The following is a 12,498-nucleotide window of genomic DNA, read 5'->3' on the forward strand; positions in this document are numbered from 1 at the left end:
AGGCTTCATAACAAGGGACTTAAACTGAGCAAAAAACTCAAAACCAGTGTGAGTTAACAATGGAATGTGCTAAATCTCAGGCTTCCTTCTCTTGGCCAGATTTTAAAACAATCACATTGAGAGCAACAAAGTTAACTGGTGAGCCAGTTTAAAGGGAACTGAAGTTTCTGATAAAGTCTTTCCCTCTTGTCCATGGGGGATACATTCCAAGACCCCAGTGGATGCCTGAAGCCATGGATAGTACCAGACCTGATTGCTGTCACTCTGGACACGTTTCTGTTGTCAGCTGAAGGATGAGACAGTTTGTAAATTTGGAAAGGAGCTTTTTGTTTCTCATAAAGGGTCGCAGCCTGCAAAGCGGGCATTCTGACAGGCTAGGAAGCATAGCTTCTGGTCAGAAGCCAGAAACAGACACTTCAGAGGGGAAGAATAAGACAACAATTTATGCTGAATGGGGTGGGTAATAGGCATATTCAATAAGCTATGGGGGAGTCATGAATATTCATGAAACGAGAACCATGCGCACGCGATTGAGATTCACGGTCCCATGTTCAAAACATGGCAGTGTTAGCATGATCCAAGGGCAGAGTTTTCTGGACTCTAATGTGTTAAGCTGAAGCTGAGGACACGCAGGCCCTCACTGCACAGCCCCCACAGGCTGGTGGAATGCTGGTTTGTTGTTTCATTGACATCACAAAAGGGAGGGGTGGTGTCAGTCTGTTGGTTAAGTCCTAGGTGGAATCTTTGGAAAGAACTGGCTTTTGTTCAGCCCTTAGGGAAGAAAGCCTGTGGCCTTTAGCAAGCAAGGATGGGGGTGTAACCAGGCTCATCAGACCTCCCATCCCCTCACAGCCACAGACCCAGCTTTAAGGTTACTCTGGGGTCCCCTTGGCCAAGAGGAGGGTCTGTTCTGTGGGTTGAGAGCCTTAGGATTTTATTTTTCTTTCTTCTTGTTCATGCCTTCAACAAGTATAAAGCCCTTTCCATCTTAACTAAGCACTTATCACACACTGTGGCTGTAACTTCTGCAGCTTGAGGTGCGATGGCGAAAGTATTATTAATTTCTTTTTCCTTCTTCACAGTTTCCCAGACGGAAGATTATTCTTACTGCAGATCTTAGCAACCTCAGCACATGACTCTTTTTCTTTCCTCATTAAGTCAAGAACCTTTGGCCTTTTCACTTAAAAGAAGCACTCTAAGGCTTCGCTTTGACATACCCCAGTTGCCAGCATCACTACTGTTTGGGACCATTAGGAAGTAAATTCAGGGAGACTTGAACACAAGCACTGCTTATCTCGAAAGCTGATCTGCTCACCGAGGTGGCCCTTGAGCACGGACAGCCTGGATCTGCTGGGTAAAGGGAGAAGTTATGTCCAGGGTGGGACAGAGAGGACGGCGAGAGATTTCCTCACTACTCAGAACAGCGGGAAATTCAAAACTTAGGGATTATTTCTGAAATTTTCCATTTAAAATTTTCTATTTAAAATTGACGAAGGGTAACTGAAACCAGAGAAAGCAAGACTGACGATAAGGGAGGGGCCTCCTGTACTCCAAGAGCACTGAATCTGGAAAAACTCAACACATCGATGGAGTCATATATTTAATTTTTTCTTAAAAGCCGCCTGCGGGGTATTGTAGAAACGCTGCGCTGCCTATCACAGCTTGTGATGTGACACGTTCATTCTGCAAGTTTAAACTTCGCCTAGGTATTTCTTTTCCTGTGTGACCGTCACATGACTAGTTTTGTTGTGCATTGTTGTAGAAGTTAACATGTTTCCCTATCGAAAGAATGTCATCTTCTATTTTCTCTGTTTCTTTTAAGCTTTTTTCATATAGTTGGCCTTTTGTTAATGGTCAGCATTTATGGCTTTTTGCAGACAGCATCTCTTTGAGCAACAATTTCTTGAAATAAAAAAATATATTCTTGGCCAGGTGTGGTGGCTCACGCCTGTAATCCCAGCACTTTGGGAGGCCAAGGCGGATGGATCACTTGAGGTCAGGAGTTCAAGACCAGCCTGATCAACATGGCGAAACCCCATCTCTACTAAAAATACAAAAATTAGCCGACCGTGCTGGCGTGCACCTGTAATCCCAGCTACTTGGGAGGTTGAGACAGGAGAATCACTTGGACCTGGGAGGCAGAGGTTGCAGTGAGCCGAGATGGTACCACTGCACTCCATCCTGGGCAACAGAGCAAGACTCTGTCTCAAATATATATATATTTTCCCTAGTTGGCTTTAGACTCTTGACCCCAGCTTATAGTTGTTTTTGTTAAAGACTGTATTATTATGGTCTCTCCATGGGAATTATGGTTTTAAAATTATTTTATTCATTCAGCAAATCTTTATGAGCATCTACTATGCATCATGCTGTTCTCGTGAACAAAACAAGATCCATATCCTGAGGGAGTGTGCCTTCCAGCAGAGAAAGACGGCAGTGTGTAAGGAGCGTTAGAAGAAGATGTTGTCTTTTGTGTGTAGAAAGTGGTATGTAAAAGTGAAAAATAAAAAGAAATAGAGCAGAATCAGGGATGGAGGTGTGGGGCAAATTGTAATTTTGAATAGGGTAGTCAGGGTCGGCACTTTTGAAAGCCTGACGTGAGCAAAGCGAAGAAAGAGGTGAGGGAATTAGCCACAAAGATTTCTGGGGACAGAGTGTTCCAGCCTGTGCAAAGGCCTGGAGGTGGGTGTGTGCCTCGTGTGCTAGAGAACAGCTGGCCTGGCTGGAGAGGAGTGAGCCAGAGGGAGGACATTTGGATATGAGCTCAGGTAGGTGACAGGGGTGGGGCAGATCACTGGGGACCCTTTTTTCCATTGTGAGGACTGTGGCCTTTACTCTGAGTGAAAAACATTTTGAGTAGGGGAGTGACATGTCTGATTTAAAGTAGAAGATGATTGTTTCTGATAAAGCTGACTTGAGAAGCTATTTGGAAATTGTTTATGTGATAAGTCAGATAGTAATCATAAGTGACAGAGGTTAAATGCAGGCAGAGAAATTCAAGGAAATTGTCAGAAAAAATATTTCATCTACCGGGCATGGTGGCTCACTCCCAGCACTTTGGGAGGCCGAGGCAGGTGGATCACCTGAAGTCAGGAGTTCGAGACCAGCCTGACCAACATGGTGAAACCCCGTCTCTACTAAGAATACAAAAATTAGCTGGGCGTGGTGGCAGGCGCCTGTAATCCCAGCTACTCGAGAGGCTGAGGCAGGAGAATCACTTGAACCTGGGAGGCGGAGGTTGCAGTGCGCCAAGATCACGCCACTGCACTCCAGCTTGGGCAACAGAGTGAGACTCCATCTCAAAAAAAAAAAATTAAGGTACTCACAGAAGGTAAAGAATGTCATTAAGCTGCGTGGTATCCCAGTTCCTGAGTGTCATGAGTGTCCACAGATGTATGAGTGTGTATGTGCAGTAGAGTCATTGCAGGAACATTTAGGCATGTGAGGCTCTCTAGGTTTGGGGCCAGAGGACATGAGTGCTTAGAAGTTTTCAGGCAAGCCTCATTTCCAGAGTGCCCTTGGAATCACTGCTATCATCAGTTGGAATTAGTTCTTTAATTAAATCCTGGCCATCGATCAGCATCCCTTTCTATTGCATTTGACGGAGCTTACAGAATCTGTGTTGTAAACAAAGCAGAAGCATCTTATTTCCCAGAACTGTGGTTTATTAACACCTAAGGAAACTGGTTGTCTGATACTCATATTTTTAAAAAATGTGCTTAGTAATTCATAATCTTTTAGTCCTTCTAGACTGTCAGCATTGTTGGATATGCTTTATGTATACTTTTGTTATATGCTTATTTGTAAGTTTCTTTTTCCTAAATCGAGAATCTATGTGTTCGTATTTTGTCCTACTCTAGCAAGCTTTCAGTGGGAAGAGACTGCCATCCGTAGTGAACCCATATCATTTTTTGTTTCTTAGTCGTTTCCTCATTTGTGGATCATAGAGACCCCATTTCCCACCTTTTTCCTCTTCTAGTCAGTGTCTCATTCCCCAGCTGCTCATCAGAAGATAGTGAAATATGAGGGGAAGTTTAAGTTTTATTTTATAGTGATTAAAGTACGGTGAGGTTTAAAAATACTGAAGGTGGAATTTTCATAGCTACCAAACGTTGAAAATAACACAACATATTTCAACTAAAAATGAAGCAAGGTGGGTAACTGACTTCTTGAATCCCTGCTGGATGATGGCACTGGTGCTTAGCACTTTATGTATATTTCCTTCATTTAACTCTCACAACCACTCCTTTATCGGACGTCATCATTCCATTGTTCAGATGGGAAAGCCAGTGTCCAGGCAGGCCAGGAGACCTGCCTGAGCCCCACAGCTAGTAAGTGGCAAGCCAGCTTCAAAGTGTTGACGTGATGAGCCTAGAACCCCTGCCTTCCCCTATTCTATGCTGTTCCCAAATATCTCCCACAGTTTTGCGCCTAATAGTAATAGCTTCATCTGTTGAAAATGACATCAAAGTTAGTTTTCCTTCCATCTTTATAATGAAAATACTTTTTATAGTGCTTGACTTTTTCTACCCTCCCCACACCCACCCAGTTTACCAGTCCATTTTGTAGATTGTCAGTATTTTCGGATATGCTTTTTTCCCCATTTTTTAATTGTGGTAAAATATACGTAACATAACTTTACCATTTTAACCATTCTAAGTGTACAGTTCAGTGGTATTAAGTATGTTTATGTTGTTGCTCAGCCATCCCCATGTCTCCAGAACTTTTTCATCTTCCCAAACTGAAACTCTGTCCCCATTAAACACTAACTCCCCACTCCCCTCTCCCCTTCCTCCACCCCCAGCCCTACAACCACCATTCTCCTTTCTGTGTCTGTTGGATATGATTGTACTTTTGTTATATACCTGTTTGTAAAGTTCTTTTCCATATTAATCTGAGCTTTCCAGCTTTTCAAAGGAGAATAAATACCAAGTATCTGGTTAGAACTCTGACCTCTTTGCAGAACACAAAGCTGGAGCTGAAGCTCACCCCCACCCCCACTCACTCCCGTGGTTAACAGAATATTAAACCTGAAAAGTACATTTTAAAAAAAGAATGAAAAGTAAAAATGTTTGGGAAGTTTTCTGGAAACTAAAGAGCTAAGAATTCTTAAAGGATCCGGAAAGCTGTGTTTTCATACTTCAGTTTGATGCATGGATTTTCAGTTTAAAAGCCTTTTGCATAAAAACATTAAAGTCTCCTTCTAAGGGGTAAGAAAATCTTCCCATTCTCCCAACTGACTATTTGAAAAAAATGTTAAAAAAGTAGTTTCTGTAGAAAGTGTCTGTAAACAGAATAATTTTTCATTCACGTTAAGATCGGTTCTTGGGGAAAAGCTGTGCTTCAGAGACAAGGTTGAAGAACTTCGCCTGCATATGATGGAAGATGACAATGGGAACCACAGGTGTCATTGGTGGCTTTGTTTTACAAAGTCTTCACCTTTCTGCTGAGTCACGGGACTAAGTTCAACACAATTTCTACTTTCCGCCTTCCTTTGGAATAATAGTTTTGGAAGCCAAGTATTAGTATATGATACCAGGTGTGTTTTCTAAAGATTCAGGTTCAGTGGGCTGAATGCACTTTCATGACTTCATTAGACCACTGAGCCCAAGGAGAAAAGTGCCAATCTTACTAGACATGAGGAAAAAGACACATCTTTTGCTCTTGCTGGAAGTGGTGTCCTACTTTCTACAAGCAGTCGTCATCTGGTTTATACTTGCCTTGTTCAGTTTTTGTGTGATATTTTATTCTCTGCCTAATAGATATTAAAGTATCAAGCTGTCAAGATGATTTTTTAATTTAGATAAATTTTAGAATTTTTTATTCATCTACTTCTAAAAGGGTGAAAAGATAATGAATTACTCAAGATCAGGAGATGACAAACCTAGCACTATGAAGAGCTGGATTCTCCCCTAAATGTTTTTGTTTCTGTTGCTTGCTTCATACCAGGTTTGCAAGAAAGCAGTAGAAATCCCCCACATGTACACACACACACACACACACACACACACACACACACACACACAAAATCTATCTTTGCAGAGTTTTGGAATGAAAGAAGGAGGGAGTTGTGTACTAATGACGCCGTGGTTGTGTCGTTGCTCCATTATAGTGAGGGAGCTGAAAGGGCCCATTCTCTTCACAGCCTGGAGTCGGGGACTCTGAAACCTAATCTGAAGTGTGTTTAACGAGGGTTCTGAACGCTGGGACTTATTGCTGAGGGGAACAAGGAGACAGTGTGTCCTCAGGGGCAGTGTGGCCGCCCCTAGAGCCACAGCAAGCAGGAAGAATCGCAGCATTTGTGGTCAGAACCGATGGGCAGGCCTAAACATTTAGCTACTTTGCCCCAGAATGAAAGCCTTGTTCCAGCTCCCCAGGGTTTGGATTTAAAGTTTTAGTTCCTGTCGGTGGTCGCAGTTTCCTGACGAGGGTGCCATCCAGTCTGCTGTTCAGCTTTTGAGTCATTTAATTTTTCTTCTTCCAACTTCTCCTCCTCCACCTTCTCCTCCTCCACATCATCATCATCATCCCAAATACCCATTAGAGCTCGCCTAGTCTGGATGCCGTTCTAAGGGCATGGTGTATACTAAGTCGCTTAATCCTTACGGTGACCCAGTGAAGTGGTTCAATCTTTACGTCCATTTTATGTAAGAGGAAACTGAGGCACAAGAAGTAGCTTGCCTCCAGTGAGTGTGACTTTGGGCACTCCGTTGTCCTCCAGCCTGGAAAGTCCCAGTAGATACAGCACAGCTGAGGTGCAGGTGTGCAGGTATATCAATCCCTTCTGCCCACAGGGTAAAGCCCTAGAGCATTGCATCTGGTCTCAAGTGTCCAGGGCTCAAGTGTCCAGCTTTACACAGATGTTACTGCTGATGTCTGGAAAGTGAAAAAGGTAGTAACACCCTGTTCTGGCTTCTAATATACTTTTGATACACACAGGCAGAAGGGCAGTGTCAACTCATCCCCTGTAATTCATTCTGTAAATTTCCCTTCACCATCACGGTGGCAGCAATAATAAAGAATGTGTATCATGTGCCAGGCCTTTTGCTAGGTACTTTATGGTCATGGTTTCATTGAATTCTCACATTAGTCTTAAAAGGGAGATAATAATAGCATAAAATAGCATCTCTAGCCCTTTCATGACTCATGTGCTGTGGACTAAATTGTACTCCCCACCCTAATTAATTTATTGATGCCCTACCCACCATGTGGCTGTATTTGGAGTAAGGAAGTACACTAATTAAGGTAAAATGAGGTCATGAAGATGGAGCTCTGATCTGATAGAACTAGTGACCTTAGGAGAAGAGACACCAGAGGGCTCTCGCTTGCTGTCACTCAGCCATGTGAGGACACAAGGAGAAGGTGGCCATCTGCAAGCCAGGCAGGGAGCCCTCAGAGAACCAGATCAGCTCGTACCTTGAGTGTAGACTTCACACCCTCCAGAACTGTGAAAACATCAATTTCTATTGTTTAAGCCACCCAGTGCGTAGTGTTTGGTTATGTCCACCTGAGCATACTAAGTCATCACGTTTCCATCTGTGTTTACCTAGCAAACTCCTACTCATCCTTCAGGACCCATTCAAGTGGGCTACTTCTAAAAACACATTAGGTACTCCACTCTCAAAGAACACCTCCATCAGGGAGAATAGCCATTTGCTCTATTCTCTGACTTTCTACAGCTTTTTGCTAGTTCCTCTAACATGCCACTTACCATGTACTCCAATTTAGCTGGTTATTTTTGTACATCATCGACGGAAGTAGTCCATTTTCACACTGCTGTTAAAGACATACTTGAGACTGGGAAATTTATACAGGAAAGGGGCTTAATGGACCCACAGGTCCACATGGCTGGGGAGGCCTTACAATCATGGCAGAAGGCAAGGAGGAGCAAGTCATGTCTTACATGGATGGCAGCAGGCAAAGAGAGAGCTTGTGCAGAAAAACTTTTCCTTATAAAACCATCAGATCTTGTGAGACTTACTATCACGAGAACAGCATGGGAAGTACCTGCTCCCATGATTGACTCACCTCCTACAGGGTTCCTCCCACAACACATGGGAATCTACAATTCAAGATGAGATTGAATCTACAGTTCAAGATGAGATTTGGGTGGGGACACAGCCAAACCGTATCACTGACCCAAAGAGAGATGCTCATCTTCTTGCTTTCCTTTCTGTCTGCTTAGCATAGTGACTGCACACTGCAACTTGCTCGATAAATACACCGCAGCCTCCTCAAGCCATCATAGTTATTAATACCTCTGCCCACCTGGTCAAAATCTGCCAAAGGGCTGTAGGAAAATCTGTGACATTGTGATGCCCTAAGATGAGATGGGTCGAGAGTTGGTGGGTTATAGGATTTTGAACAATATTCTGATAGGTATCAGTGGTAGGGAGAAGGGCACAAGGCCTTCGAGACCAGCCATTCCCTTCTACTGAGTGAGAGCATGCCTTGGTTGTCATGGTTACGCTAATCCCAAAACAGCAAAAATGAAACACTTCCCAAAACGGCTCTCTGTAACCCCAGGAGGTGCAAACCTTGTAAACCTGGTCAAACATTATCAAGTTCTGTCTATGAGATGATTTCCACAAGGCAGTACTTTAGCTCTCTCAGGTAGGGAATTAATTGATTTAGATGATTTAATGTGGTAGGGAGAGGGAGAATATACTCCCAACCTATAGAAGGAATGGTGTCTTTATTCTTTTAGAAAAGAAAACAAAACATACTCCTGCTTAAAACTTTGTTATAGAAATAACCTGAAGACATAGAAATGTTGTTTCTGTTGTTGTTTTTGTTCGTTTGTTTGTTTGTTTTGAGACAGGGAGTCTTACTCTGTCGCCCGGGCTGGAGTGCAGTTGCGTGATCTTGGCTCTCTGCAACCTCTGCGGAGAGGTTGATTGAACCCGGGAGGGTTCAAGCAATTCTCCTGCTTCATCCTCCCAAGTAGCTGGGACTACAGGCACGCGCCACCACGCCCAGATAATTTTTTTGTATTTTTAGTAGAGATGGGGTTTTGCCGTGTTGGCCAGACTGGTCTCGAACTCCTGACCTCAGGTGATTCACCCGCCTTGGCCTCCCAAAGTGCTGGGATTACAGGTGTGAGCCACTGTGCCCGGCCTAGAAATGTTTTAAAGTCACAATAAACTGGAGCAACTTTGAGTCATAATTTGTAATAGCTTGAAGCGCTGTGTGAACATGCATGCTATTTAGTATTCAGTGCGTACTTGCCAGGCTTTCCCCATGAATGTAAACCTCCTCCTAAGTTTAATTTTATAGGCTCCAATGAAAAGCCAATTGAGGATGGAGAAGGCAACAGGGACACAGAGCATGGAGCCAGCCAACTGGTTGGTGCGCTAGATTAAAATTCAACTGCCTTTTAGAGCATCATTAAAAGTAGCCATTAAAAGAAAAGGACAAAAATTTCATTACATAGTTTCACGAATTGCTGGTTTGTTATTCCAAAATAGAACATTATAGTGACTGTTTGGCCTCTTATAAGGAGAACCCTTCAGGAATATTACGATTGAGACTGATAGTGAACGGGGTGGTTTCTTAGAGCTGATGGGAGCCTTAGAGAGATCTACCCCCAGCCCCAGCACAAACCCTTGAGGACATCATAAACATTCATTTGGGCCAGGTGCACTGGCTGACACCTATAATCCTAGCACTTTGGGAGGCCGAGGCAGGATGATCACCTGAGCTCAGGAGTTTGAGACCAGCCTGGGCAACATAGCAAGACCTCGTCTCTACTAAAAATAAAAATAAAAACATCAGCCAGATGCGGTTTTGCGCTCCTGTAGTCCCAGGTTCTTGGGAGGCTGAGGTGGGAGGATCGCTTGAGCCCAGAGATTGAGGTTGCAGTGAGCTACAGTGGTGCCACTGCACTCCAGCCAAGGCGACAGCAATACACTGTCTCCAAAAAAATGTTTAAATAACAGAAATAATTACTTTTCTTGGAAAAACAACAAAACACTCATTTGTCATCAGATCCTTCTCATATTAAACCATTACTCACATATATGGGTTTTCAAATGATGCCTAGATAAGTGGGTTTTGCTTTCTTGTGTATAGTAGTCTGTGTAGCCGTGTGTGTGTGTGTGTGTGTGTGTGTGTGTGTGTGTGTGTGTGTGTGTGTTTTGAAATAAGTTAACCTTTAAGAAAATACTTTCACTGATGAATTTTCCACAGGGCCTTTTTTCTTGAGTTCTGTCAGCTTAATCTGTGCTGTTTCCACCTTTTCCCCATTCAAACTTGACTTGTTTACAGGTTTGGTTTTTTAGCAATAAAAGGCTAGTGGATTTGTGGCTCTTGAATCTATCTCATCGTTGGCTTTCAGTGCAAAGCCTGCCCCAAATGCATAATTTGCCATTATTTCCAAAGATGTTCAGTTTATTCCTTTTTTTGCCAGACATATAAAAGAGCTCTTTGGGTAAAGAAATATTAGCAATTATTTAGTGCATACACATGGATAGTCACCCATTTTCCTCATGTGATAAGGTCCTACCTCATAATATTTTTCGAAGATCTCATGTAAAGAAAATAGATTCTTTGTTTTCTTATTTTTAAAAGTAGTGTTAACAGATTGCATTGTGAATTACCGTTTTCAGTTGTTTATAGATGTGAGCCCTGTTCCTCAACTACTTTTTCTCCCGTCTGCATTTTTTAAATTGTGGTAAAACACCTGTAACAAAACTTACCGTTTTTACATGTGTAGTTCAGGGGCATTAAGTACATTCACTCAGAGGCACTAAGTACATTAAGTACATCCACATCGTTGTGTGATTATCACCACCATCCATCTCTAGAACTCTTCTTACCTTGCAAAACTGAAGCTCTGATCCTGTTAATCACTAACTCCCCATTTCCCCTCCCCAAAGCCCCTGGCAACCCCCATTCTACTTTCTGTCTTTATGAATTTGCCTGCTCTAGGCACCTCATTGAAGTGGAATCGTCCAATATTTGTCCTTTGATGACTGGCTTATTTCACTTAGAACAGTGTCTGTAAGTTTCATTCATGATGTAGCATGTTCCTGAATCTCCTTTCTTTTGAAGGTTGCATCATCCTCCAGTGTGTGGAATCGTCCTCCTCATACTGTTTATCCATTCATTCAGCAGTGGACACCTGGGTTGCTTCTAGCTTTTGGCTATTGTGAATAATTCTTCTGTGAACGTGGATTTACAAAACTCTGCTTTCAGTTATTTTCGTTGTATACTCAGAAGTGAGATCGCTGTATCCTAGGATAAGACTATTTTTGTAATTTTGAGAAACTGCTGTACTGTTTTTCCATAGTGGCTGCACCATTTTGCATTCTGGGATGTGACGTGGAGCAGAATTACCTTCAGAGTGAAGTTCAAAAACTCACTGGGAATAAGTACAGAGAAATGATGCTGCAAGCTGATGAAATAAATTTACTATAGGAACAAAAGGAAGAATCATTTTCTTAATGAAATACAAGCTCTTTCTTTGCCTCTCTTCTCCGAGAAGCTTCCTCAGAAGCAGGCTTTAACCTGGTGTGCGTTGACACACTTAGATAGTTCAGGACCCCTTTCTAAAAGAAAGGGAGAGGAAGTCCTTGACCATGAGGGTATCTTTATGTCTTGAAGCGCTTTAGGCTTAGCTGCCCGGTACACATTGGGGTGTTAATGCACAGTCCACGTAGCACATTTGTATTCGTCCATTCTCACAGTGCTATAAAGAACCACCTGAGATTGGGTAATTTATGTAGAAAGGAGGTTTACTTGACTCATAGTTCCACAGCCTCTTCAGGAAGCATGGCTGGGAGGCCTCAGGAAACTTACAGTCACGGTAGAAGGTGAAGGAGAATAAGCACGTTTTACCATGGTGGAGCAGAAGAGAGAGAGAGCCCAAAGGGGGAGGTGCCACATACTTTTAAACCATCAGATCTCATGAGAACTCCTCATTATCAGGAGAACAGCAAGGGGGAAATCTGCCCCCATGATCCAGCTACCTCCCACCAGGTCCTTCCCCCAACATTGGGAGTTACAATTCAACATGAGATTTGGGTGGGGACACAGAGCCAAACATATCACCATTGTAGTGCCATTTACCCATGCCATTGTCATGTAGTGGGTGCATTTCAGCCCTTAGTGATGTTACATACGGAGTTTCCTTACAACCATAGATAGAGCCAGTATTCACAGGGGAATTTGTGTAATGCTTTATGGACATCTATTTTACAGATGAATTTTAGAAGCTATAAATATACTATTGAAACTATAAGTTGACATCACCCTATAAAAATTTGGTGCCAAAGAAAAGTCATTTTCTATAAACATTTTGTATAAAATAATTTTAACAGTTTTAAGGATCGACTTGTGATTTATTAGCTAGATCCTAAGTCTCTACTGCAAACCCATGACAATGCAGCTAGTTAATCATCATCGTTTCACTTGTCTCTGACAGGCCCTAAGGAGTGTGCAGTGCTGGGGCGGCAAGGCTGCAGGTTCTAGGACTCAACACGCCCTCATATTGTATGC

General features: G+C 42.8%; 1 protein-coding gene and 1 long non-coding RNA gene across 4 annotated transcripts in view; both read left to right on the forward strand.

The window, feature by feature from the left end:
* The window catches only part of FARP1 (FERM, ARH/RhoGEF and pleckstrin domain protein 1), a 312,588-nt gene that overhangs the window by 184,865 nt on the left and 115,225 nt on the right, over window positions 1-12,498 (forward strand). The window lies entirely within an intron of this gene.
* Window positions 753-5,785, forward strand: LOC105370327 (uncharacterized). Of its 2 annotated transcripts, none has more exons than XR_002957490.2 (3): window positions 753-871; window positions 1,083-1,706; window positions 5,318-5,785. It is a non-coding gene; the product is annotated as an uncharacterized LOC105370327 (long non-coding RNA). The 2 variants fall into 2 exon arrangements; XR_931667.3 differs by having other exon boundaries at window positions 1,083-1,354.

The sequence above is a fragment of the Homo sapiens genome, chromosome 13 (genome assembly GCF_000001405.40).
Source record: "Homo sapiens chromosome 13, GRCh38.p14 Primary Assembly".
Classification (NCBI taxonomy): domain Eukaryota; kingdom Metazoa; phylum Chordata; class Mammalia; order Primates; family Hominidae; genus Homo; species Homo sapiens.